The sequence below is a fragment of the Homo sapiens genome, chromosome 6 (assembly GCF_000001405.40).
Source record: "Homo sapiens chromosome 6, GRCh38.p14 Primary Assembly".
NCBI lineage: Eukaryota > Metazoa > Chordata > Mammalia > Primates > Hominidae > Homo > Homo sapiens.
In genome coordinates, this window is record NC_000006.12 from 63,507,614 (window position 1) to 63,535,431 (window position 27,818).

The 27,818-nt window shown below is 39.0% G+C and overlaps 2 protein-coding genes across 6 annotated transcripts in view, besides 1 other annotated feature; one reads left to right on the forward strand and one right to left on the reverse strand.

Annotated features, from left to right (window-relative positions):
- Nucleotides 1-27,818, reverse strand: part of LGSN (lengsin, lens protein with glutamine synthetase domain) — a 297,657-nt gene that overhangs the window by 231,663 nt on the left and 38,176 nt on the right. The gene's annotated exons all lie outside the window — the stretch shown is intronic.
- Nucleotides 8,827-27,818, forward strand: part of PTP4A1 (protein tyrosine phosphatase 4A1) — a 67,149-nt gene continuing 48,157 nt past the window's right edge. For 2 of the 5 annotated variants that reach the window (NM_001385257.1, NM_001385256.1), the window contains exons 1-3: nucleotides 14,133-14,213; nucleotides 20,206-20,471; nucleotides 24,724-24,917. The gene's annotated coding sequence lies outside the window, so the exon portion shown is untranslated. Of the gene's footprint in view, nucleotides 8,912-14,084; nucleotides 14,214-15,276; nucleotides 15,612-20,205; nucleotides 20,472-24,723; nucleotides 24,918-27,818 lie in introns of those variants that run through there. The other 3 variants (NM_001385255.1, NM_001385258.1, NM_001385254.1) reach the window with 3 other exon arrangements.
- Nucleotides 11,626-11,715: an enhancer, noted in NCBI's record as "active region_24718". NCBI's record gives its function as "activates an Ori minimal core promoter by ATAC-STARR-seq in GM12878 lymphoblastoid cells {active_cell/tissue: GM12878}" and the evidence as "EXISTENCE:reporter gene assay evidence [ECO:0000049][PMID:35858748]".

Consider the following 27,818-nt stretch of genomic DNA (forward strand, 5'->3'; position numbering starts at 1 on the left):
TGTTATCAGCAGTTCCTGGACCTCATAAGTTGTATTGGCTCTGTTCATTTCAAAGCCTGATTCTTCATCCTTTCTGCCAAACAATGAGTACCTGAATTATCCCAGTAAATTTCCTTTATTTAGGTTAAGCAGAGCCTGTTTTTGTTTCTTACAGCCAAAGAACCCTGCTTCATAAAAATGGTATACTGTTCAGACAGGTTGATGGTAGTTCTGTCATTAATGCAAACTGAATTATGCATTTTTGTATAACATGTTATCTTCATGACATTATTGATCTACTAGAGCAAAAACATAAGAAACTGTTGAGTTTTCCATCATGCCCAAGAGACAAAAAAAAGCAACTTGGGTCTCTCAGCTCCATAGTCAAGCAAAGTAAAATACCACCACACTATTTATACCTAGTTGGATCCTAATTTTCCTTCTTTGGTTATTTCACAACCAATTCATGGTTAACTGTTCAATGTTACACATTTAACTAGTTCAAGAGTAAAATCACATATCTTACTCCAGAAATTATGCCAACTTCATATAAAAGAAAAATCAACTTTTTGAATGCTTTTCTAAGAATTATATTTTTGTACCTACTTAGGAGGTTAGTTTAGGACATTAAAGCTGAAAAAATATCAATACCATTCTTAGGCTCATTTTCCTCAAAAACAACTTCCTAAAAACTGGTTATAGAGATAGCCAGATGGCTGAAGAACAAAGTAGTAGTAAGACTTTTGATTGCCTTCCCTTTTGAACATTTAAAATTTTGCATTATGTAAACAGATACCTAGCCAAAAAATAAAATTTTTTAAAACCACCAAAAAATAAGCTAAAAAGTTGTATGAATTTATGTATCTTTATATAGTAGAATAATAAACATACATTAAAAATTATACTCTTAGGAAACACTAAATGATAATGTATAGGGATGCACACACCATAGCAAAACTATAAAGAAAAATAAATGATTAAAAGTCATTAGGGTAATTCACTTCAGTAGGGAGGGAGATGGTTATGTTATAAGAGTATTTCTGGCTGGGCACGGTGGCTCACGCCTATAATCCCAGCATTTTGGGAGGCCGAGGCAGGTGGATCATGTGAGGTCAGGAGTTCGAGACCAGCCTGACCAACTTGGCGAAATCCTGCCTCTACTAAAAAAACAAAAAAATTAGGCGGGCGTGGTGGTGCATGCCTGTAATCCCAGCTACTCAGGAGGCTGAGGCAGGAGAATCGCTTGAACCCAGGAGGTGGAGGTTGCAGTGAGCCGAGATTGGGCCATTGCACTCCAGCCTGGGCAACAAGAGCAAAACTCTGTCTCAAAAAAGAAAAAAAAAAAAAAAAGAGTATTTCTGGGGTGACTGAGTGAGGTGATAGTTACAGGTGTTCACCTTATAATAATTATTTATATAGTTTATTTGTATTCATATTATATTTAACAATATAAAATTTTGTAATAAAGGAAAAAAATTTTCTTTTTTTTTTTGAGTCAGTCTCGCTCTGTTGCCCAGGCTGGAGTACACTGGCACGATCTCAGCTCACTGCAACCTCCACCCCCTAGGTTCAAGCGATTCTTGAGGTTCAGCCTCCTGAGTAGCTGGGATTACAGGCGCACACCACCACTTCTGGCTAATTTTTGCAGTTTTAGTAGAGACAGGGTTTCACCATGTTGGCCAGGCTGGTCTCGAACTCCTGACCTCAGGTGATCCGCCTGCCTTGGCCTCTCAAAGTGCTAGGATTACAGGCATGAGCCACCACGCCTGGCCAAAAATACTATTTTTTAAGGATTTTTTTTAATAAAATGGGAAAATGTTCACAATACAAAATTCAATGAAATCGAGGATACAAAGCTCTCTATGCAGTATAATCTCAATTAGGTGTGCGCATGTTGTATATTTGTAGAAATCGACATTAAAATAAATATATCAAATATTAATTATACCTTTTAGTTTTTGTATTATTTTATATAGCTGCCATAGTTTCTTAAATGTATGATATAATAATGTGTAAGATGAAAATTTCGTTATAAAGGATGAAGTGATAAACCTAGCTTATAGAGTAAATATTAAACCTTAACCGTTTCAGTTCCTATAAACATAGGCATTTAATACGTTATAACAGTAAAATTTTAGAGCTAGGGGAAATCATAAGAGATTGTCTTCACACATGCCTCTGTTTTACAAATGCAGAAACTAAACAGTAGATAGGCTAGCTGACTTGGCCAAGGCCCCGGGTTAGTCGCAGACCTGGGATGGGGCCAGGTTTAGCACAGTGTTTTGCCCTTCCTCCCACACTGATAGTGCCTTGTATGGAGGTAGAACAGAAAGCCCTGCTCTTTAGGGAAAGTTTCACTAACTTTTCAAAACATGAGTATGTGATAATTATAATTAAGGACTATCACAAATGAAGTGTAAATTTATAAATGTAACCATCTAATAAAGCTTCGGTTAAAATTAATATTGGGGCAAGTTTATTTTTGAATTTTTTAAAGATAGAAAGAAACAACAACAAACCCTTGAGTTTCCAGAAGAACTGCCTGTATTCATTCATTTAACATACTAAAAGCAGCTTGTGACTGCCATAAAGTATGTCATTGCCGCCTTCAGTACTAAAAAAGTGGTCCAGTATATGAGGCAACTGCTCTAAATCATGCTTGTTTGGACAGGCTGTTTCTTAGTTCCACCTCATCTGCACTTTAGCCCCACTCTGTGCTGTGTAGACCCAAGCGATTTGCACAAACACCACATGATCCCAAAGGTACTTTCCCAGGGAGAAGGAAAAAAAACATAAAAGTTAAACTAACCCTTGTAAGTTCTAGTTACCACTTAATCTTTCTATGGTTTGACTACCTTTCTTTTTTTTTTTTTTTTTTTAGTTTTTTAAACACTTCAAGTCATAACTCCTCAGTATTTAATATTTAGATTTTTTTCCCCTTATTCTATTCCCCCAGAGTTAATCTCTTCTCCCCACTTTCGTTCAATATCTATTATGTGCCAGGCACCATCTTCAGTGTCAGGAATACAGAAATAAGCAAAACATGTTCTCTTCCTTCAAGAAGCGAATTTTTTTTTTTTTTTTTTTTTTTTTTTTGTTGAGACAGAGTCTCGCTCTGTCACCCAGGCTGGAGTGCAGTGACACAATCTCGGCTCACTGTAACCTCTGCCTCCTGGATTCAAGTGATTCTCCTGCCTCAGCCTCCTGAGTAGCTGGGACAACAGGCGCATGTCACCATACCTGGCTAATTTTTGTATTTTCAGTGGAGACAGGATTTCACTATGTTGGCCAGGGCTGGTCTTAAACTCTTGACCTCAGGTGATCATCCTGCCTCTGCCTCTCAAAGTGCTGGAATTACAGGCATGAGCCACCGCTCCCGGTCAAGATGCGAATTATTTAGAGGAGCAGCTAGACAGATAAGCTAATGATGGCAATAAAATGTGCTTGGTAGAATAAGGAGATCAATGGTGCTATGCTCATGGCACCTATTACTCTAGGAGTAACAATCAGGGCACTTAACACAAGTGCCTGGTTCTACATTCCCACCTCTTCCTGCAACACGCTATATCTATAAGATGATAAGATGAGCCCAATGGAAGCCCTACAAATCCTGATCCCTACTCTAGGTCAAGCTTATACAAGTAAATAGATTTCTTTTTTTTTTTTTTTTTTTTTTTTGAGATGGAGTTTCACTCTTGTAGCCCAGGCTGAAGTGCAGTGGTGCAATCTCAGCTCACTGAAACCTCCGCCTCCTATGTTCAAGCGATTCTTCTGCCTCAGCCTCCGGAGTAGCTGGGATTACAGGCATGCACCACCACGCCCAGCTAATTTTTGTACTTCATTAGTAGAGACAGGGTTTCACCATGCTGGTTAGGCTGGTCTTGAACTCCTGACCTCAGGTGATCCACCCACCTTGGCCTCCCAAAGTGCTGGGATTACAGGCATGAGCCACCGCACCCAGCCTCAAGTGAATTCTTAAAATGTAGCTTTGAGAATTTGAAATCATTACCTGGGCATTTTTAAAATTTTGACAGTTTATAGTTTACCTAGATGTTTTGGATTATAGACCCCCAAATCTAACGTATTAAAATTTTTTCTGAAACAGAGCTTATTATTTTATGGTTTTGAATTGTCCCTCAGAATCAAAATTGGAAAATATTTTTACTGTGTAATTTTTCTTATGCTTCTTACTGAGAAAATGACTCTCCAAATCTGAAGATGATGAAAAATACACATTGGGATTTGTTACTACTTATGTGTACACATTTGAAAGACAGTTTAAATCCACATACTATTTATGATGTTCTTGGCTGCAAGTAATTAAAAAAATTAATAATTCCCTAGCAAGCAGATGCAGATTGAAAAAATTAAAAGTGGTGAAACTGTAAGGATACTTATTTTACTATATGGCAAGAAGTATGGAGGTAGTTCTGCTCCTGGACTGGCTCAGTCGTCATTAAGGACTCAAGTTCTTTCCTTCGCTCCATGTTCTTTTTTTTTTTCTTTTTGAGACAAAGTCTTGCTCTGTTGCCCAGGCTGGAGTGCAGTGGTGTGATCTCGGCTCACCGCAACCTCTGCCTCCTGGGTTCAAGCGATTCTCCTGCCTCAGCCTCCCGAGTAGCTGGGATTACAGGCATGTGCCACAGCTGCCAGCTAGTTTTTGTATTTTTATTAGAGGCAGGGTTTTGCCATGTTGACCAGGCTGGTCTGGAACTCCTGGCCTTAAGTGATCTACCTGCCTCGGCCTCCCAAAGTGCTGGGATTACAGGCATGAGCCATGGAGCCAGCCTCATGCTCTCATTCTTTGCGTGGTGGCTTAGTCCTCAAGCCTTATCCTTCATTGCTGCAAAGTGGCTGGGGCATATCTTGACATCACATGAAGACCTAGAATCATTATCTTCCATGCCCCACTTTTTATTTAATGGGGAATATTTTTCCTGAAGTCCCCACAGAATTAGCTCCGTTGGCCACAGTTGCCTCTCATACCCAGGCATAAGTCATTCATTGTGCAAAGGGTATGAGACTACCATGATTAGCTTAGATCAATTAAGATAGGCTTTTATGAGACTGCAGAGGGGTCTATCTTCCCTCAGATAACATGTTGAAGGATAAACATATCTGAGATTTTGTTAGTATGGAAAAAGCAGTGTAAGGCAAATAGTTTCAGGGAAATTATACTCAAACTAAAAATTCAGTGTAAAATAAATACAACAACTTTACTACCCACAAGTTTTGGTATGATGCTTAGAATCTGATCTAAAATCCACTCACTCTATTCTTTCAGCAAACATTCTTTGATCACTTATTACACGTTGGGCACTGTTCTCCGTACTAAAGCAGAGAACAAGACAGATACGTATTTGTATTGGGAATGCTTTCAGCAGCAACTGACAGAATAGGAAATTAAAAGTGGCCAAACCATAGGGACATTCAGTGTTTGCCCAGAGAAATTTAGAGGGAGGCAATCCCTAGTCCATCTCCTCTGAAATATAACCAAGAGTCCAGGTTCTTTCTTCTCTGGGTCCTTAACGTGCTGACTTTTGTCTTTATTCTTTTCACTTCATTGTTCCATAGCTGTCATAGTTCTAAATACCTCATCTACTTTCAAACGAGAAAGAAATGGTAAAGGACACTTTTTTCTTATTATTGTCCCTTTTGCAAAGATTTAAAAACCTCCAGAAGCCTCCTATGCAGATTGCCATGAAATCTCATTGGCAGGATTGTGTGCCACACTGGTCTTCTCAAAAGCAAAGGAGTCTAGGAAGGTAATTATCCAACAAAGTGTTATGGAGCCACACACACTGCTGCCCCAGATAAAATGGGGATTTTTTTTTTTATAAGGGGAGCCATGGATAATGGTTACCCAATTACAATGTTTGCCGTAGTCCCCTTTTCCTGGAATTAATTCTCTGGCCACTTCTTGGAAAAGTAATAATAAATTAGGAGTACTTTTCATACTCTAGTTTTAAAATTATGTGTGAGGAATTTGTAGTGGTTCTTAATGTTGTTTTTGCACATTCAACTAGAAAAGCAATTGGCCAGGTGTGGTAGCTCACACCTGTAATCCCAGCACTTTGAGAGGCCAAGGCAGGTGGATCATCTGAGGTCAGGAATTGGAGACCAGCCTGACCAAGATGGTGAAACCCCGTCTCTACTAAAAATACAAAAATTAGCTGGGTGTGGAGGCGGGTGCCTGTAATCCCAGCTGCTCGCGGGGCTGAGGCAGGAGAATTGCTTAAACCTAGGAGGCAGAGGTGTCCGTGAGCTGAGATCCTACCATTGCACTCCAGCCTGGGCAACAGAGCGAGACTTCATCTCAAAAAAAAAAAAAAAAAAAAAAAAAACACTGGAAAACAGACATTTTGCCTTTATTCCAATGTGGCTTTAGAATTTTTCATAAGGAATATGTATTAAGATATTACTTATATAAATACAAATGAATAATATATAAAATAATTAGCGAAAAATCTGTTAAAGACTAATAATCTGTGTTCTTCTGCCCACATCATTTGGTCCCTGGTCCTGTTCTTGCTCAATGTTTGCAAAGAACCAAAGGCACACTACAAATAAGTAGAAATCTCTGTTGTGCTCTGACCCTTGATCTGTTCTGTGATCACTGTTCCCTTTGGCTTTTTTTTGTTTTGTTTTGTTTTGAAACACAGACTCACTTTGTCACTCAGGCTGGAATACAGTGGCACAATCTCGGCTCACTGCAACCTCTGCCTCCCGGGTTCAAGTGATCCTCCTGCCTCAGATCCCTGAACAGCTGGGACTACAGCCATGCACCACCATGCCAAGCTAATTTTTGTATTTTTAGTGGAGATGGGGTTTCACCATGTTGGTCAGGCTGGTCTTGAACTCCTGACCCCAAGTGTCCGCCCACCTCGGCCTCCCGAAGTGCTGGAATTACGGGCATGAGCCACCGCACCCAGCCCTCTTTGACGTTTTATCATATATTTTTTCATTTGGAAGTGACTTTTCTGTAAGTTGTCACAACAATGAAATGTCTATTGACTTCTAAGCAAACCCTCAAATCATTAAACCTTGTCATTAACCACTCTATGTCCCCAGTGTTGTTGTGGTTTGTTAAGTAAAGAACTTCTGTTGAACAAGTGCTTTTTGTTTGTTTGTTTGTCTGGGTCTTGCTCAGTCACCTAGAGTACAGTGGTGCAATCACAGCTCACTACAGCCTCAACCTCCTGGGCTCCAGTGATCCTCCCACTTCAGCCTTCCTAGTAGCTGGGACCCCAGGCACCAGGCACCACACCAAGCTAATTTTTTTTTTATTTTATGTAGTGACAGGGTCTCACCATGTTGCCCAGGCTGGTCTCAAACTCCTGGATGAAAGGGTACCTCCTACCTTGACCTCCCAAAGTGCTAGAATTACAGGCATGAGCCACTGTGCCGAGCCTTGCTTGTTTGTTTTTTGAGACAAGGTATTACTCTGTCACCAAGGCTGGAGTACAGTGGCATGATCATAGCTTACTGCAACCTTGAACTCCTGCCCTCAAACCATCCTCCTGCCTCAGCCTCCTGAGTAGCCAGGACTACAGGCAAGCATCACCATGCCTGGCTTGAGCAACTGATATATATCATTTATCTTAATCACCTTTCTAAAAAGTTTTTTTGTTTGTTTGTTTGTTTGTTTGTTTGTTTTGAGACAGAATTTCGCTTTGTCACCCAGGCTAGCGTGCAATGGTGAGATCTCAGCTCACTGCAACCTCCGCCTCCCAGGCTCAAGCAATTCTCCTGCCTCAGCTTCCCGTGTAGCTGGGATTACAGGCACCCACCACCATGTCCAACTAATTTTGTATTTTTAGTAGGGATGGGGTTTCACCATGTTGGCCAGATTGGTCTCAAACTTCTGACCTCAGGAGACCTGCCTGCCTCAGCCTCCCAAAGTGCTGAGATTATAGGCGTGAGCCACCCCACCTGGCCTCTAAAAAATATTGATAAATTTACAGAAGTTATTTAAAATGTTGAAAATTGTAAGCAACATAGCAATCTTGAGTTGACATGTATAAAGCATGGTATTTACTTTTTTATTGATTTATTAATTCATATTCTCATTTTCTCCCTCGGTGCTAGAAAGCAAAGAGCTAGTCAGGCATGAGAATGATTAAAAACCCTTGTGAGCTAGGAAGAGAGAAGAATCTAAACAAAAACGAACCTAAGGAAAAGAACAACAAATTAGGCTTTGTGAAATGGAAGGAAGAAAGGAAAGGGAAAGGAAGGGAGGCCTAGTTCATAATGTGTTATATGATTTAGATTTTTACACAAGTAAGATATTAAAGAATTACAAGTTAACCATCTAAATGTAATACTTTCCAAATAACTTAGAAGTAACATAGTCTGATTTATTCTAAGATGTGCTATCATTTATCTTGAAAAATTTTCAGTAGAAAAATGATCATAATTTACTGGATTTTTCCTACAGTAAATCATTTATTTTTATTTATTCTTATTGGCTCTATTGAAAACTGTGTCCCTTTATTACCTTGTTGAAAATCTAAACCATCAATAGAACAGCAAAGCATATTTTAATGAAGTTAAAACCTGTTGCAACCCTAAGCAAGTAGAAGATTGAAAATAAGACTTTAATCTGTACACCAGGCAATTCTCTAAACCTGTCACTAAATTTTTTGAATCCACCTATCCAAAAGGTCAGCAAAAGTAAAGGCTTCATTGCACAAGTTGATACCAGTACTGTGCCCTTTGCCAAGAATGCTTGGGAAAATAAAGGATTCCATTGTTTCAACAGATTGACCTGGCAACTTAGTCCAGAAATGTTTTCTTTAGACTAATTTAGCAGAAGAGATGAATAAAGTCAAACAACTGTTTTACGGTAGAAGCACTTCAAAGTAGTGCTTGAGAGCTCTGAAGTTTGAATGATCTAGCTTTGAATCTTGACTCCACCAGCTGTGAGCTCTTAGTAAGTCCATTTAACTTCTTATGACTCAATTTTTCCATTTGTAAGTTGGGCATGAGGGCACTCAAACATGGCATACTGCTGGCTGTCTCTTAATACTCATTCTTCTCATCTTTCAAAGCAACAGAATCTTAGTTCTTAGCAGGACACACAGGTGAGTGGAAAAAAATCTCTTTTACAACTAGGTGTGGCCATCTGAGTTTTGGGATATATGTGGCAATGGCATGTGCTACTTCTGGGAAGTATTCTTAAAGAAAGGGGTAGGACTTCCTCTTCCTTCTTCCTACAGCTAGAATATGGACATGAAGGCAGAAGCTCCAACAGTTTCCTCTGTGGATGAGGTGACCTTGGAATTGGAAGCTATATGTGCCAGAGGTATTAGACAGAAAGAGATTGAGTCTCTGCCACCGTATCATATCAACCCCAAACTGACTCTTCTGGATTTCTTGAATAGGCAAGAGAAATAAACCATTGACCGAAGCCATTGTTTTGGGATATTTATTTCTCTGTCTGCCAAACCTAATTCTAATTAATAATACTACCACAAAGAAAGGTTTTAAGAATTAAATGAGATTATGTGCTAGCTACATAGTAAGTGTGCAATACATCATGCTTATTATTACTATTATATTATTATTAAACAAGGATAATATTATGGTCTAACTATTCAGAAAAATAAAATATATCTGGAAAGTCTTACCTTTCAGACCAGTGGCATTAAAGAACTATAAGGGTGCCTATCAAAGAATAGAGTTTCTCCTGAGAAGCAATTTTTGATGTATTAGAATAAATTACCTGCAATAAAGAAAAGAGGTCAAACAGACCTGGAATAGCTCCTAATCCCCATGGTAACCACATATTTTCTTACACCAAGTGTTGCCTAATGTTCTTAGTCTGAAGGACTCTGAATTTTAAAAAGAAATTTAAAATGGAAAATAAAGGTATGCACACATGATGCCCCGTAAAGTGAAACCATTTAAATGGTGAAAGATCTCCTGATGATAACCTCAATTAACAACAATAGCACTATGAACAAAAGAAACAATTTTGTAAAGGGAAATACACTCTAAAAACTCAAAACAAGGACCTTCACTATCTATCAACACACACACACATGCACACACACAATCACATACACACACATATATATGACTTTTATATCAGAAATTGTCAATAATGATCTATAATTCCACAATATGTATCACAGACACTGATGGAGAATTAAAAATTAAGGAGCAGCCTTCCTCTGCTTCCAAACACAGACTATGTCCAAAATCATGTCAAAAATGTCTCTACTAGCGCAACCCAATAGTTTTTAAAAGAATCCATTGACACATAAAATCTCAGTAGGGCCAAGCTTGGTGGCTCACGCCTGCAATCCCAACACTTTGGGAGTCCAGGCAAGTGGATCACCTGAGGTCAGGAGTTCAAGACGAGCCTGGCCAGCATGGTGAAACCCCATCTCTACTAAAAATACAAAATTAGCCAGGTGTGGTGGCAGGCGCCTGTAATCCCAGCTACTCAGGAAGCTAAGGCAAGAGAATTGCTTAAACCCGGGAGGCGGAGGTTGCTGTGAGCCCAGATAGTACCATATCGCACTCCAGCCTGGGCAACACAGTGAGACTCCGTCTCCAAAAAAAAAAAAAAAAAAAATCTCAGTAGGTTTCTAGACTATCCCTTTACTATGGAAAATATTTGTGCCACCTTTTCCATAACTTTATTGCTGCCAGAGCACATCTTAGATTGCTATTTTGCTTTCCCTAATAAGCATAACATCAATTCTCTTGCTTGTATTTACTTTTCTTGTTACTTGTACCTAAACTAACAGCTTAGGTATCTTGAGGTCCTGGCAGAAAAGGCAAGAATAAATTTTATAATTGATTAACTAAAAAATTATCATTTTGGACATCCCCAGGGCAAACAAAGGAGTAGCAATGGAATCCAACAGAGGTAAAGGATAACAACCATAGTCCACCTAATCAGAATTCCTTCTTTGAGGTTGAGACTGAAAAAGAGGGTGGGGGCAATGTAGGTATCAGTCAGTATTTTACAGAAAAAGAAATGTAATGCTCAGTGATGTTAAATAGGTTGTCCAAGGTCACACAGCCCAACCAGGATTTAACTCTAGGTCTCTTTACAGCTAAGGTTCTTTCTAGCAAGCCATTCAGCCTTCACAGTGTACTAACAACAGAGAGGACAAAAGCAGAATTTTGCCTTTAATACTTGCAATAATAATGCAATAATCATAAATGTACCTGGGAAGTTGCTGAAAAGATAGAAAATAACTCAGTATTGAAAAATGCACATTAGGAGATTTATATTCAAAGAAAAGGTAACTCTTGAAGACTGTTTTGGAAGTCAGTATCTTTCAGATTTTAGAAAAAAAAGCAGGATACATATGCCATATATTATACTTTCAGCAGGATCTGGGTAGCACCCTCTTAACCATATTAATATCACTGTAGTAAAGCATGTGCATATTCACACTAAGTGAGATAAATAAAGACTACAGGCCGGGCACAGTGGCTCACGCCTGTAATCCCAACACTTTGAGAGGCCAAGGCGGGCAGATCGCCTGAAGTTCAAGACCAGCCTGGCCAACATGGTGAAACCCCATCTCTACTAAAATACAAAAATTAGCTGGGCATGATGGTGGGTGCCTGTAATCCCAGCTACTCAGAAGGCTGTGGCGGGAGAATCACTGAAACCTGGGAGGCAGAGGTTGCAGTGAGCCGAGATCACACCATTGCACTCCAGCCTGGGTGACAAAGGCGAAACTCTGTCTCAAAAAAAAAAAGACTACAAAGGTGCATATCAGTTCAGTACAGTTTCAGTGCTAAATGAGTTCAGGTCAAGTCAGGTCAGGTTTTGAATTTTGAAAACACTTCCTCTTTTCATAGCTTTTTGGATTTCATAATTTCAGGTAAGGGATGTGAAACTGTACTATGTCCTGTCTTACCAGGTGAGGGAAATACTAATGATAAACTGACTGATTGATTTACCAGAACTGACTTTCCACTAATAAGGGTAAAGACACCACATATGCCAAGTTTGTTCCATATACTTGGCACAAGCTTATTTCCTGTTTTGTGACTCAATTACAGCCCATTATGTGACTCAATTGAATTAAAAAGTAGGACATGAAAATGAAATACAGGTCAGTCTACTAAAATCCAGAAAAGGTATTAAGCAATTCATGTGTGACAGTTCTAATTCAATGTTAAAACTATAGTTAACTTCCTACTATTACACTTGACTTGCAAATAAACCAATAAGAAAATTAGAAAGCAATATAGAATTTTAGCTCCTGAAATTCAATCATCAATTTATCAATAAAAACCATTCTGTTCAGATTAAAGACATTTGCTACCACCATACTTTATTTTGACAAATGGACTTGAAATAGACATTCAACACATTAAAATTCAGTAGATAATAATTTTTACCCTGTAACTGTATAAACCTGTAGACTGATTTAATGTATCATCTACCTATAATTTTTCGAGGAGCCTCAATGCCTGAATCCAACATATTTTAAAACTACACATAAATTTGCGAGAACATAATTATCAAACAAAAACTAACCACTGGATCTCTTGCATATTACACACTGCTGTTGCATTGATACTTTTCTCTCCTCTGTATGCATCCTTTTTTTAACTTCAGTCTTCATTGATTCTACAATTGGGAATATTTTCCCATTAGACATTTATGTGATTCTTATCTTTAAATGTTGTGATATATTGTCCTTGGCCTTCAGGAGATCTATCAATTAACATTGCTAATGAATAGGAAAAATAGTAAAACACTAAAAATGAAAATAGACTGGGTGTGGTGGCTCATGCCTGTAATCCCAGCACTTTGGGAGACTGAGGCGGGCGGATCACTTGAGGCCAGGAGTTCAAGACCAGCCTGGCCAATGTGGCAAAACCCCATCTGTATCAAAAATACAAAAATTAGCCAGGTGTGATGGCACATGCCTGTAATCCCAGCTACTCGGGAGGCTGAGGTAGGAGAATCACTTGAACCAGGGAGGCAGACAGAGGTTGCAGTGAGCCAAGATCATGCCACTTCACTCCAGCCTGGGTGACAGAGTGAGACTCTGTCTCAAATAAATAAATAAATAAATAAATAAATAAATAAATAAATAAAATGAAAATAGATATCTGAAAAAAAAGACTTTGGCACAATTGTTCACCTTATAAATCTGTGGTTTGTGTTTATTATTTCCTTGTCAATATGATTAGTGTCAGAGTTACTGTTCTTTTTAATTTTTTGCCTTGTAAACAGGTGGTAAAGAGATCATTTATTAGACCATGTGCTATAGGTAGTGCACTACATGAACAATCAGTTTATATACACCATGGAATACTATGCAGCCATAAAAAAGAATGAGTTCATGTCCTTTGCAGGGACATGGATGAAGCTAGAAACCATCATCCTCAGCAAACTAACACAGGAACAGGAAACCAAACACCGCATGGTCTCACTCATAAGTGGGAGTTGAACAATGAGAACACATGGACACAGGGAGGTGAACATCATATACTGGGGCCTGTCACGGGGTGGGGGAAAAGGGGAGGGAGAGCATGCGGGGCTTAAAACCTAGATGAGGGGTTGATAGGTGCAACAAACCACCATGGTACATGTATACCTATGTAACAAACCTGAGCATTCAGCACATGTAGCCCAAAACTTAAAGTAAAATAAAAGAAAAAAAAATAAAACTGAGCAAGAAAAGAAAAAAACGGCAAATAATTTTTTAGTGTTGCACAGAAAATAATATCTGGCTTGTCGTATTCTAGCATAAAGTGAGTCAACATCATTGTTTAAAAGTCAGACAGATTTCAATTCAGCATTTTTCTCCCCAATCTAATTATTTCAGAAGCTCAGGTAGGATCAGAAAGAGGCAGTATCCTTCCATGTAGGAACACACCAAAGGAGCTAATTACATAAAAACAGAAAATACATAAACAACACATGTAAAGAGGGTAAATGACAGATGGCTAAATGCCATAACTAAGTTTTATTATACTACCATTAACCACCAAAATTATGCATTTCCTAAAGTAGCATAGTTTGGAAACAAATAGCATATATTTTAGAAACTGTCCCCTTGAACTGTATAAATTGCAAAATAAACAGATATATTACCCTTTCTCTGCCTCCCCTACAGTAACTCATTAACAGATAGACTTAAGCTCCTGCACTTTCTGACCCTCCCAGGACTTGAGTTGCCTTGTCTGGTATCCTTATGCAGAATGAACTGAAATAATCATCAATCTGAAAAGCTACTCTTAAACAGGTAATTCTAACTTAATCTACTTGTATATTTTATGGAACACCTAGGGACAGACTGTTAGAACAATGGGAATCTTATAAAAATATATTAATCTAATTCTCTTATTTTACAAATGGAATAATTCATAGAGAGTTCTGATCTGTTCAAGGGCACACACTCATTTAGTGGCAGAGCCCAGACTAGAACCCAAGTAATCTGTCTCCCTCTCCAGTGCTTTTTCCCACAGGCTTTGCCAGATACTGTTTCATGTCTTGGATTACATTGGTAGAACCTTTTGTTAATACATAGGTGAATCCTTGTCTTCCAGATTAGGCTCTTGAATTTCCTTATCCCAACTCTATATTTATGTTTTCTGATTTTATGGAATGTCATATTCCTTTTTCTCCAAAGTATTTTAAGGGCTACAATATATGGCAAATTTTAACTGTTGTTTCTGTTACTTATTTGAATTTAGATGAATTATTTGTATAGTTATAAAGATAAGATGTCCAGAAACCATATTCATGATGTAAATGAGATCACCTTGTATCTGCTAAAAACATTCTAGTTAAACAGAAGATAAACAATAAATAAGTAGTCCCTGCAGGAGATAATTTCATCAGGGGACCCTAGTTACAATTCAGGTGAAACAGACCAAATGCCAGAGCTCTTTATCACCCTCGCCAAGACTGTATCCATGACAAGCTTTAGTAAGCAAAGAGAGCAATAGGAAGCACTTTCTTTTTGAGGTAGAAAAGGGCTCTATAAGTTGAATATTCCCCAAATTACATTATTTGTATTAGTTAAAAGAACACAATAGTGTAGCAGCCAGAAAACAAATATTTGCTCATAAGTTTTTATCATTTTTTTCCAACTGGACCTGGGGATTCCTATTGCTCATATGTTTACTCACAGCTGATACTCTTTCAACAATAGGGGAGATACCATATTACTGTTTTCTACCATGGAAGATTCAGTGCAATGGGTTCATTTTAATTACCATGTAAAGTGACTCAGACTTTGAGGTCGTGAAATGATCCCCTTTATAAGACTAAATCACTTTTTTTTTTTTTTTTTTTTGAGACAGAGTCTCACTCTGTCAACCAGGCTGGAGTGCAGCAGCACGATCTCAGCTAACTGCAACCTCTGCCTCCCAGGTTCAAGCGATTCTCCTGCCACAGCCTCCGGAGTAGCTGGGACTACAGGCATGTGCCACCACGCTGATCTAATTTTTGTATTTTTAGCAGACATGGGGTTTCACCTTTTTTGGCCAGGCTGGTCTCAAACTCCTGACCTCAAGTGACCTGCCCACCTCAGCCTCCTAAAGTGTTGAAATTACAGGCACGAGCCATAGTACCCAGCCGAATCACTCTTTTATTTTTTTTTACATCACTCTTACGAGTCATCAAAAACAACTATAAAGTAAGTGTCTAGGATGTTTATTTCACTATTATGTACTTTCTCAGGCATTATACACAATATGATGTCTATAAATGAAGGCGGGCAGATCACTTGAGGTCAGGAGTTCGAGACTAGCCTGGCCAACATGGCAAAACCCTGTCTCTACTAGAAAACACAAAAATTAGCCAGGCATGATGGGGCATGCCTGTAGTCCCAGCTACTCGGGAGGTTTGAACCCGGGAGGTTGCAGTGAGCCATGATCGTGCCACTGCACTCTAGCCTGGGCAACAGAGTGAGACTCCATCTCAAAAATAAATAAATAAATAAATAAATAAAAGAAATTCTGCAAGGTGGTAAGTTATTGCAGAAAAATAAAACCAGTTCCATGTCAATCTACTATAAGCCCACTCAGATCTAAGACATCTTATTTGCCTAGAGCAAGCTTATCCATGCATGTGGCCCAGGACACTTTCAATATGGCCCAACACAAATTCATAAACTCTTTTAAAATTATAAGACTTTTTTTGCGATTTTTTTAAGCTCATCAGCTATCGTTAGTGTTAGTGTATTTCATGTGTGGCCCAGACAATTCTTCTTTCAGTGGGGCCCGGAGAAGCCAAAAGATTGGACACCCCTGGCCTATAGCACTCTGTGTCTGAATTTTTAACAGATTGCCTACTCCTAGCATAATAATGTTTTATTGTCATTCTCAAGTTTCTAAGGTATGACTATATAAACAGTAGAAATAAATTAAATATTAAAAAGGTAGAATTGTATCAATAGGCTTTTTTTTTTCTGGAGACAGTCTTGCTCTGTCGCCCAGGCTGGAATGCAATGGTGCCATCTTGGCTCACTGCAACCTTTGCCTCCCAGGTTCAAGTGATTCTCCCCATGTCTCAGCTTTCTAAGTAGCTGGGACTACAGGCCCGCACCACCACACCCAGTTAATTTTTGTGTTTTGAGTAGAGATGGAGTTTTACCCTCTTGTCCAGGCTGGTCTCAAACTCCTGGCCTCAAATAATCTGACTGCCTTGGCCTCCCAAATTGCTGGGATTACAGACGTGAGCCCCCATGCCCAGCACTCAATAGGCTTTTAATCTAGCTTATAAAGTGTAAAGAATCCTAGAGGATATATTAATGACACATATTTGTATGAAAAAATTATTTCATATTGAAGACCAGTACCTTCTCAAAACTGCCACAGCAGATGAATTTCTTCTAAGAGGACATCAATTTGGGCCTTTATTATACCTTGAGTTTAATAAGTGAGAACTTCAAGGTAGTATATGTAAAAGCATTTTGAAAAATATGTATAATTTTAATTCCTATATGAATTTATTGTTCAATATGTTTCAAGAAAAAAGATGAAGCAATTCACAGTTTTTAAAAATGTAAAAATAAAATTATCCAAACAGAAGCCTTGGATGAGATTCTACTGAATGACTCTGAGCTTCCTGGCAGCCAAAGCAAAAGAGAAATGCAAAGTGTTATTTCTTTTCTTTTCTTTTGACTGACAAGAAAAAACATACAAGTTCATGTGAAAAACCTATCTTCTCACATGAAATTGTATATATTATCTCATTCAAAGTTTCTATTTTAATCATTTCCTTTTTATATGTTTTAGAATTATAAACATTATATGTGAATGCGAGATGTGGCATACCACAATGGACAAATTTTTAAATTGCAGTTTTTGAAGATACCTCAGAGGCATTCTTCATATAAGCATTTTTTATGAAAAAACTTAAGAAAGTAAAATTAATTATTGAGTTTAACTCCTAAATTAGTGGAGTTGAGCATGTCACCAAGCCTTGTTCTAACTTGATTCAGGGATTTAGCTTAGACAGACTAGAGCAGCATTTCTGAAAGGGTGTTTAGAAGATGTCCTGCATCAAATTATTCAAGGCTGTTTCAAAGGTGAAGATTTCTAAGCCCCACTCTACAACTACTGAATCAGAACTCTGGTACAGATTTCAAAATTCTCAATTGTAAATAAGTTATCCTGGTGAATTGTGTGTCTGCAGTGCTAGTTATTAGTACTCTTTCAGGATCAAACCCGCTCTTCCATATTTGGCCTTGTGATGCTGAAGCCGGTTGTGGGTAACCTCCAGTGTCATTTTTGCCACCTGGCTTCCGGTTAGATTCTGCCAATGGGGGAGCTAGAGAGAGAACAGACGGGAGGAAGGAGGTGGAACACACTCCTTCCCGTTTGCTTGCTATTCTTGTCAGTATCACCTAGCTGTGGTTCTTCACGCCAGCAGTTCTAGCTTTTTCTAGTAGCAGTTGGTTCCAGTTTCCACTATTTCCCCATCTCCCAGAACCTAGTTCATGCCACTCTCTCAGAGCATCTTCTGAAATCTGGGTTCCAGCTCCACTGGACTCTCCTCTGCGTTCTGAAGCACCAGTGCCATCCAGGCAGCTTCCTCACCTCAGAGGTCTGGATTCCAGCTTCCACCTTCTCCAAGCTTGTAGTTTCCAACAACCCCAACCTTTCACCTTTCCCCCCAGGCCTAGTGGTAGCAGCTGCTTTCTGCAATTACTTTCCCTGTGTATTTGTTCCTTTTTCCCCTGTCAGTCCTCCAATATCTATATAACTAAATTTCCCTGTGTAAATTATCTCTTAAAATAGTTGGTGTGGTTTCTTTTTTCCTGACTAAACCCTGACTGATACAAATGTTAATATTTGAGTTCTAGTGAGTTGGGACATTAAGGAGACAACGTATCTCTAAGACAGTCTCTTCCAATTGTCAATTGTTTAAACCTTCTTTCGGTACCAGTATACAAAAGAGTGGTGCCAGGAGTTTCAACCACTATATTTTATTGCCTTAAGAAATTTCTAGGCCAGGCGCAGTGGCTCATGCCTGTAATCCCAACATTTTAGGAGGCCAAGGCGGGCAGATCACCTGAAGTCAGGAGTTCAAGACCAGCCTGGCCAACATGGTGAAATCCCGTCTCCACTAAAAATACAAAAATTAGCTGGGCATGGTGGTGGATGCCTGTAGTCCCAGCTACTCAGGAGGCTGAGTCAGGGGAATCACTTGAACCAGGGAGGCGGAGGTTGCAGTGAACCAAGATCTCACCACTGCACTCCAGCCTGGGTAACAGAGCAAGACTCCACCTCAAAATAAATAAATAAATAAAAGAAATTTCCAGAAGCTTTGGGTTCTAGAATAGCTGATAACAAAGTTGAAATTCTATTATCAAAAATGAAGAATTCTTACATAATCTTTCCCAGAATCAGAGCCAATCCAGTTCAACAGAGAGGAAGACCACGTATGATAAATCCGCAAGCAGAACAAAAATATTTTTTTAAAAAGATTTTTAGGCCAGGCGCAGTGGCTCATGCCTGTAATCCCAGTACTTTGGGAGACCGAGGCAGGCGGATCGCAAGGTAAGGAGATCGAGACCATCCTGGCCACCATGGTGAAACCCTGTCTCTACTAAAAATACAAAAATTAGCTGGACGTGGTGGCGTGTGCCTGTAGTCTCAGCTACTCCGGAGGCTGCATTTCTTGAATCTGGGAGGCAGAGGCTGCAGTGAGTCGAGATCACACCACTGCACTCCAACCTGCGACAGAGCAAGACTCTATCTCAAAAATGTATATATATATATATATATATATATATATATATTTATTTATTTATTCTTCTTAAGGGCTTCCATAGGATGCATTACTTGCACTATCTACAGGACAAAAGACCAAATGTTGGATTTATATGTAAGGGCATCCATGATGTTATGCACTTCTTCAAAATGATTTCAAGTTTATCTTTCTTTATTAGGGCACTGCTTCCACATGAGCTCATTGTTGTTCCCTGCTGCACCTTATATATGTATTTCTACCTTCATGTCTTGACTCAGGCAGTTTCTTTTATCTGAGAGTCCTTATTGAATATACAAATACCTGAGCAGTCCTCATAATGGATACTCAACACATGTTGGAACTGGCTTGGATTGCCTTTCTTCTACAGTGAGTCTTCCTCAGAATTAGTCTGCTTTGAAGTGCTATAGCAGTTACTTTATGTGCACATTTTAAACAGAGCACATGTTCTCTTCTGAATTGCTTGTGTCTATGTTCAATCTTTCCTCCTAGATTTATAAACTCTTTAAAGACATGCCATATATCTTACAGATTCTCGTATCACCACAGTAACCCACAGACCTTGCATAGAATATTGACCAATAAGTGCCGAGTGAATAAGGACCTAACAAATAGTCATCTACTATTTGATGGGTCTTTCCTTTCTCCTCTTCTTATGTTGTAGATATCTCAAAAGCTTTTCAAAATGTAGAGGGTATAAATAATATCTAATGTGCTTTATACTGTGTCCACAGTATTATAAAATAATATTTTCACTTTTCTAGATCTGCATGATACTTCCCATACATTAACTATTTAAGTTTCGGTGACAACTCTTCCATTTTAACCAAGAAAACTGAGACTCTGAGAACTTAAGTAACCATGTCCAAGGTCACGTAATGAGACAGTGATGTTTCTGGAATTCGAAAAGGGCTCTTTCACATACATTGCATGGTCTCTTGGGAAGTTAGAGCTTAGACAGTGACGATAACAGTGATGAGCTCACCTGACAGATTGCTCTTTTTCCTCTGCAGAGACTTGCTTCAACACCAGGAAGAACATGAAAGGGTGACTCATAATTCCCAGCAGCAGTGCCAGTTCATGTGCTGGGATTCTGACCACAAGCCTAACAATCAGGTCAGGGAGTCAGATTTCTGTTGGATTTAGAAAAGCATCTATGTGTTTATGAAAGAAACCCACTGGATTTTTAATAGTTCTGCAGCTCTTGGAGGCTCTACATCTACCCTTTCTCCCCAGCCAAGAGCATGGCTATGGGAGAAGGAAGGCAGGCAGCAGGCAGGTAAGTGTGACTTCCTCACTTCCCCTACCTTCTCATCTTAAAGCCATAGAGTGGTTGCTGGGTAACCCACTCCTACATATATTGGTTCATAAAGCCTAGTGAGCCACTGAAATTCTTACTGATCTGTAAAATTTCAAACACACTAGTAACACAGACAGCCATGGTGTAGATGACTTGAGCACACATAGTATATTTTCTGCTCCCATTGGGCTGTTTGAAGAATAGCATTGGCTGGGCACAGTGGTGTGAACCTGCAGTCCCAGCTACTCTGGAGGCTGAGGTGGGAGAATCGCTTGAGCCCAGCAATTAGAAATCAGCCTGGGAGACACAGTGAATCTCTGTCTTTTTTTTTTTTTAAGGCCGGGTACAGTGGTTCATGCCTATAATCCTAATACTTTGGGAGGCCAAGGTGGACAGATCGCCTGAGCCCAGGTGTTCAAGGCCAGCCTGGGCAACATGGTGAAACCTCATCTCTACAAAAAATATAACAAAACAAATTAGCCAGCCATGAAAAACTAGCCAGGCATGGCGGCATGCATGGTGGTGTGCGCCTGTCATCCCAGCTACTCAGGAGGCTGAAGTGGGAGGATTACCTGAGCACGGGGGAGGTCAAGGCTGCAGTGAGCCAAGATTGCACCACTGTACTCCAGCCTGGGGGACAGAGTGAGACCCTGTCTCAAAAAAAAGCAAGGTTTAATATCAACTTTGGTGGCACCCTCCACAGAGTATTTATACTATAGAATATGTTTTATAAAAATATTTGGGAGGCCGAGGCCGGTGGATTACCTGAGGTCAGGAGTTCAAGACCAGCCTGACTAACATGGTGAAACCCCATCTCTGCTAAAAATACAAAAATTAGCTGGGCGTGGTGGCACATGCCTGTAATCCCAGCTACTTGGGAGGCTGAGGCAAGAGAATCACTTGAATCTGGGAGGCAGAGGTTACAGTGAGCCGAGATTGCACCACTGCACTCCAGCCTGGGCAACAAGAGCGAAACTCCATCTCAAAATATATATATGTGTGTATATATATATATGTATATATATGTGTGTGTATATATATATGTATATATATGTGTGTATATATATATATGTATATATATGTGTGTATATATATATATGTATATATATTTGCTAATAACTTTACAGAACTTTCATATAATTTAGACAGGTGTCTAGGTTCTCTGGAGTCTCAGAAAAATAATACCTAGTCTTTCTCTACATAACATTTGATACATAAAATGGTCTTATTGCAAGACAAATATCAGAACAAAGATCAAACTGCTTAATTTCCTACATCAATTCAAGCAGAAACTTTTCAATTCAATCTCAAACTTTTAGGCAAAATAATTGTCCAGATTACTTTGCTTCTCTCACTCCTGCTCCTCCTCCTTCACCCCTCCCTTGCCTCTCTTGTCTCTTTTTCTAACAACCTAGCCTTCCTTTTCTACCTCTCTCGCTTTTAATTCTCACCCCTTTCTTTCCTTTTGTAGAGGAGGGGCTTAAACTTTTAAGAAATTGCTTTGTTTGCTGTACTCTCTCAAAAGCTTGGTTTGAGCAGCCAACCCTGTTTGCATAAAATGAAAGTTAGAAAACTAAAAGTTTTGTGAACCAAGGGTGGAGGAAAAGGTTATGCATTTTATCACACAGTTCATCATCCTATCAGCCAAGAATGAGGTTCCGTTTTTCTGAGTAATCCCTCACCTACCCACATCCTATATTGGCAAAATACGTGCGTAAGAGGAATTGGCAGGAGCTATCAGAGAACTAAAAATTATCAATTAGGTGTAAAAATATGTCTGCAGTTACCAGTAAGTTAGTATTTTCACTATTAAAGAAATAGGATATTTTGCCATTACAAATAGTTATGTAATTTGTCTTTTCACCATTATTTAGGTACCTTTATAGAGTTATGAGTAATATTTCACTTTTTGACAAAAAGAAAATTAGAATCATGAAGATTAACTGTTTCTCGAGATAGGGCAAGGATAATAACAGTATAGATTTCTGAAAATGAGCCGATAGAAAATCAATCCAAAGAAACTGACAGAAGGAAGTCAAATTGGAACCATCCAAAATGATATAACAATGAAATGTGATCATTAAAACAGCCATGAAGTTAATTTACTTAACACTTTTTTTTCATACACTGGAGTCAGCAGATTATTCCAAGGTGAAGAAAAGGCATAGATGTAACCTTGTAAGAGGACAGCTGTGAGACACAGCTACAGACAAAGCCAGCCTGAGAAAAAGCACAAAGGCTGAATATTAAATTTATATGATGGTACTGGAAGGCAGCCAGGAGTGGTTTGCCCTGCCTTTTATTCCCAAATCTGTAGTTGGGATGGTACCATAAGATGCTCTAGGTAAACATGAAGGCTTAGACGCCCAGATGTAAATGGCTGCCTCATACAGTCACACAGGCTATTTACTGCACAACTCCAGTGGACGCCGTTCACATAGGCTACAATGTGAAAAAAGCCCCCTGAATTTGTGAACATGGAGGCCCTTCTGTGCTAAATCACTAGGGTCATAGGGAATAATAGAAAAAAAGGAGAAGATAAAATTGTATTAAACTATCATAAAGATTTTTTCAAATAAAACATATACATAGAAAAATGATCAGAAGGAAGTACATCAAAATGAAATTTCTAGAGGCATACCTGAATTCATTTTTTCTTATTCCTAGTCTTCTGTATTTTAACATTGAATAAATCAGCAGTTTTAAAATAAATTAACATTTAATAAAGTAGTACCTTAAAACATCCAAATTGATACTTTCTTATAGCTTCAATGCTATAAACTATCAGAGATGTAATGATTAGAATGGTTTCCATACCAATGGAAAATCCTTTAGAAAAATGAGCACTATTTTTCTACATTTGTTTGCATTTTAACCTAGCTTTATAATTTCAACTATTCAACTAAATATAAGAATGAGCTTTGCTTGTGAAAATTCTGATATTATAAATACTAGAGAACTTCTATATTGTGTGTCCAAAGATAGATCAGGTTTCAAGCACAGTTCCCTCAGTCTCCAAAGTCCTCTCAGTTCTGCCTGCCTCTTGAGTTGGTGTCCATCAAGATAACTGCAAGCAATGAGGGCTACCTGCTTCCTGGTTCACAGCCAATGGGCAGAGACTGTCCACCTCTAAACTAATCACAGACTAAGAAGAGGATTTGGTTTAATTAGTGGGGAATAGATGGAATGAAGGGCAAATACCGATTTGTGAGGCCTGTAACATTTTCAGTCTGGGGGTTCTCTTTAACTAAAACAATAAAAAATTTATTCCAAAAATGAACATTTATTTGGAAAGAAAAAACATAACAAATTATAATTTTTAATGCAAAATGCCTACATAGACATCACAAAATCCAGAAGAGATAATGTAATATTTGTATTAAGTTCCTGACCCATATCTATTATGCTTTTTTTTTTTTTTTTTTTTGTAAATGCAGTGGTGCCTGCCATCTTAGCTCACTGCAGCCTCAACCTCCTGGACTCAGGCAATCTTCCTCTCTCATCCTCCTGAGTAGCTGGGACTATAGGCACGAGCCACCATGCTTGATCAATATTTCATACTTTTTTGTAGGGATGGGGTTTTACCATGTTGCCCAGGCTGGTCTTAACTACTGGACTCAAGTGACCCACCTGTCTTGGCCTCCCAAAGTGCTGTGATTACAGGCATGAACCACCATGTCCAGCCTCCCATAACACTTTTATCTGCATGTTTATGGCCACATACACTTTTTTTTTTTTTTGAGACAGAGTCTTGCTCTATCACCCAGGCTCACTGCAACCTTGCCTCCCGGGTTCAAGCAATTCTCTGCCTCAGCCTCCCGAGTAGCTGGAATTACAGGCATCCACCACCATGGCTGGTTAATTTTTGTATTTTTAGTAGAGACGGGGTTTCACCATCTTGGTGAGGCTGGTCTTGAACTCTTGACCTTGTGATACACCCACCTCGGCCTCCCAGAGTGCTGGGATTACAGGCGTGAGCCACCACGCCCGGTCAACCACATACTCTTTGATTGCCTCTTCTTATGACAACTTTATAATAGTTAATAAAGAAAAAATTAGAAATAACAATTCAATCTTTCCTCTCACATATATAATTGAAATTGTTACTGAAATTTTGAAAACTTTCTTCTAGTGTCACAATTTATTATGAGTGAAGTCATACAAATTTTCAGGAATATTGTCAAATTTTGGTAAATCTCTATTAAGTTGTTTTTTGATCTTTTCCTATAAGATTTTCCACAGTTTAGCTTCTGGATTCATACCTCTCAAATCTTGAATCTCCTCTATGCTCACATACTACCAGTACCAGCCACAGGACCTGCTCATGGCTGCATACATCCTATGTATGGGTCAGCACAGCACAGTGGATGGTAGGACTATTTCTGGAAGCCTTTTCTATACCAAGGCAGCTAGCTGTACATGGAGGTAGGTGCAAACCAGGTAAATAAATGCCATTAAATCCACAAAAAAAAAATCTCCCCATTCACTATCCCCTTATTAAATCTCAAAAATGTCCTATGCCACTGTACAGCTTTCAACCGAAGAGCAAGTATGATGGAGGGGAGGAAGTTGGAGAGTGAAACAAAAATCAATCATATTATAACTATGAGAGTTAAAATATTTTATTGTTACAAATTTTCCAAAAACACATGAGCATGTTCAATCAGTATCTAGGCCCCAAAAGATTGAATTCTATTTGGGAATAAGCTACCAAAAAATATCGTCTGGAAAAAAAAATAGTGCACAATATATTTTTTGTTACACTGATCAAATTATATCTGCTTTTTAGCTAATCCATTAATAATTAATGTATTGCACTAAGGTATTACATACCCGATGTGAGCCTTCATCCTATGGCATGGGAAGGAGGGGTTAGTCACAGAAATATCACCAGACACTGCCTTTGAAGAGCTACTGACCTGACAGAGGCATCAAAATCTATAAGCATTCATTTTCTCCTTTAAGAGACTTGATAGATTAAAAGAAAACAATAAGGCTGGGCGAGGTGGCTCATGCCTATGATCCCAGCACTTTGGGAGGCTGAGGCAGGTGGGTCACTTGAGGTCACGAGTTCAATACAAGCTTGGCCAACATGGTTAAACCTGGTATCTACTAAAAATACAAAAATTAGCCAGATGTGGTGGCGCACACCTGTTTTCTCAGCTACTTGGGAGGATGAGGCATGAGAATCACTTGAACCTGGGAGGCAGAGGTTACAGTGAGCCAAGATTATGACACTGCACTTCAGCCTGGGCCACAGAGCAAGACTGTTTCTCAAAAAAGAAAACAATAAGATGAATATATCTTGTCATTAAAAATATCTTAATTTTGTATTACACAGAATAATTACATGAAAAAATAAAGGCTAGAACAGAGCTCTTTAAAAAATAGTTTGGTTGGAGATTCACAGTGAGTTTGCTCAAGAAATAATGCTTACCAAACTATAGTATGCGTTGTTTAATCTTGAATACAAAGCTATTTAACTTTTGCAGCAGTTTTATGGCTGAGGGACTAGAGCACATGATTAAATTTACAGATAATAGCAAATTAGAATAAATGGTTATTACTTGGGAGGACAGGATTAGAATTCTAAATGACTTTGTAAAGCTGCAGAAGGAGGCATATAGACTAATGAGCAATAGCATTGAGAAATGTATGGGGAAGTATACTTAGGATTTTTTTTAAAGTTACACAAACAAAATATAGCAAATTCCTGAACAAACTTTTTTAATTAATTAATTAATTAATTAATTTTTGAGGTAGGGTCTCACTCTGTCGTCCAAGCTGGAGTTCAGTGGTGTGATCTCGGCTCATTACAACCTCTGCCTCCTGGGTTCAAGTGATTCTCGTGCCTCAGCCTCCCGAGTAGCTGGAATAACAGGTGCACACCACCATGCCTGGCTAATCTCTGTATTTTTAGGAGAGATGGGGTTTCACCATTTTGGCAGGCTAGTCTAGAAATTCTGGCCTCAAGTGATCTGCCCACCTTGACCTATCAAAGTACTGGGATTACAGGCATGAGCCACAGTGCCCAGCCGAACAAACATTTTTTTAATGTGGAAACTGCCATTCATCACAAATTGAACACACATCAGAATGTATGGCAATTACGTTTAAAAAAAAAGTTTTACTTTGGACATGGTTTAACAGTGTAACTGGAAGGAAACAGAAAGCAATATGTTTTTCTACTACATCTGATGCCATGCAATCTCTCTGGGATCCAGGTTCACTCTAAGTTAGGAGCAATGGTTCTCTGAGGACATTTGAATACAGAACTAGTAAACCTGATACATTTCTCCACTGAGTGAAGGTAATAACACAGAAGCCATCACCACACACACAGAGAAACACACACACACACACACACACACACACACACACCTCTAAAACTGGGGTCTAAGCCAATGCAGTACTTACAAAACATTTATGCTGGGTGCAGTGGCTCAAGTCTATAATCGCAGCTATGCAGGAGGCTGAGGCTAGAGAATTGCTTGAGCCCAAGAGTTAGCCCAGGCAACGTAGCAAGACACCATGTCTCTAAAAAATAATAATAAAATTGTCACCAGGCACGGTGGCTCATGCCTGTAACCCCAGCACTTTGGGAGGCTGAGGCAGGTGGATCACCTGAGGTCAGGAGTTCGAGACCAGCCTGGCCAACATGGTAAAATTTCTTTACTAAAGAATTTCTTTAGTAAAGAATTTCATAAAGAATTTCTTTACTAAAGAATTTAGTAAAGATTTCTGTACTAAATTCTTTACTAAAGAATTTCAACATGGTGAAATTTCTTTACTAAAAATACAAAAACTAGCTGGGTGTGGTGGCACACATCTGTAATCCCAGCTACTCTGGAAGCTGAGGCAGGAGAATTGCTTAAACCCAGGAGGCAGAGGTTGCAGTGAGCCAAGATCGCATCATTGCACTCCAGCCTGGGCAACAAGAGTGAAACTCCTTCACAAAATAATAATAATAATAATTGTAAGAATGTTAACATATAAACAGTATTTTAGGTAATAAAATACATGGGGTGTGGTCCCTGTGGATGAAGAAAGATTTAGAAGGATTAAAAACACAGTAATAGGACAGGCACAGTGGCTCAGCCTGTAATTCCAGCATTTTGGGAGGCCAAGGAGGGCAAATCACTTGAGGCCAGGAGTTTGAGACTAGCCTGGCCAACATGGTGAAACCCCGTTTCTACTAAAAATACAAAAAATAAGCCAGGCATAGTGGCATGCTTGTAATCCCAGCTACTCAACTTGGGTGCCTGAGGCACGAGAATCACTTGAACAGGGAGGCAGAGGTTGCAGTGACCCGAGATTGCACCACTG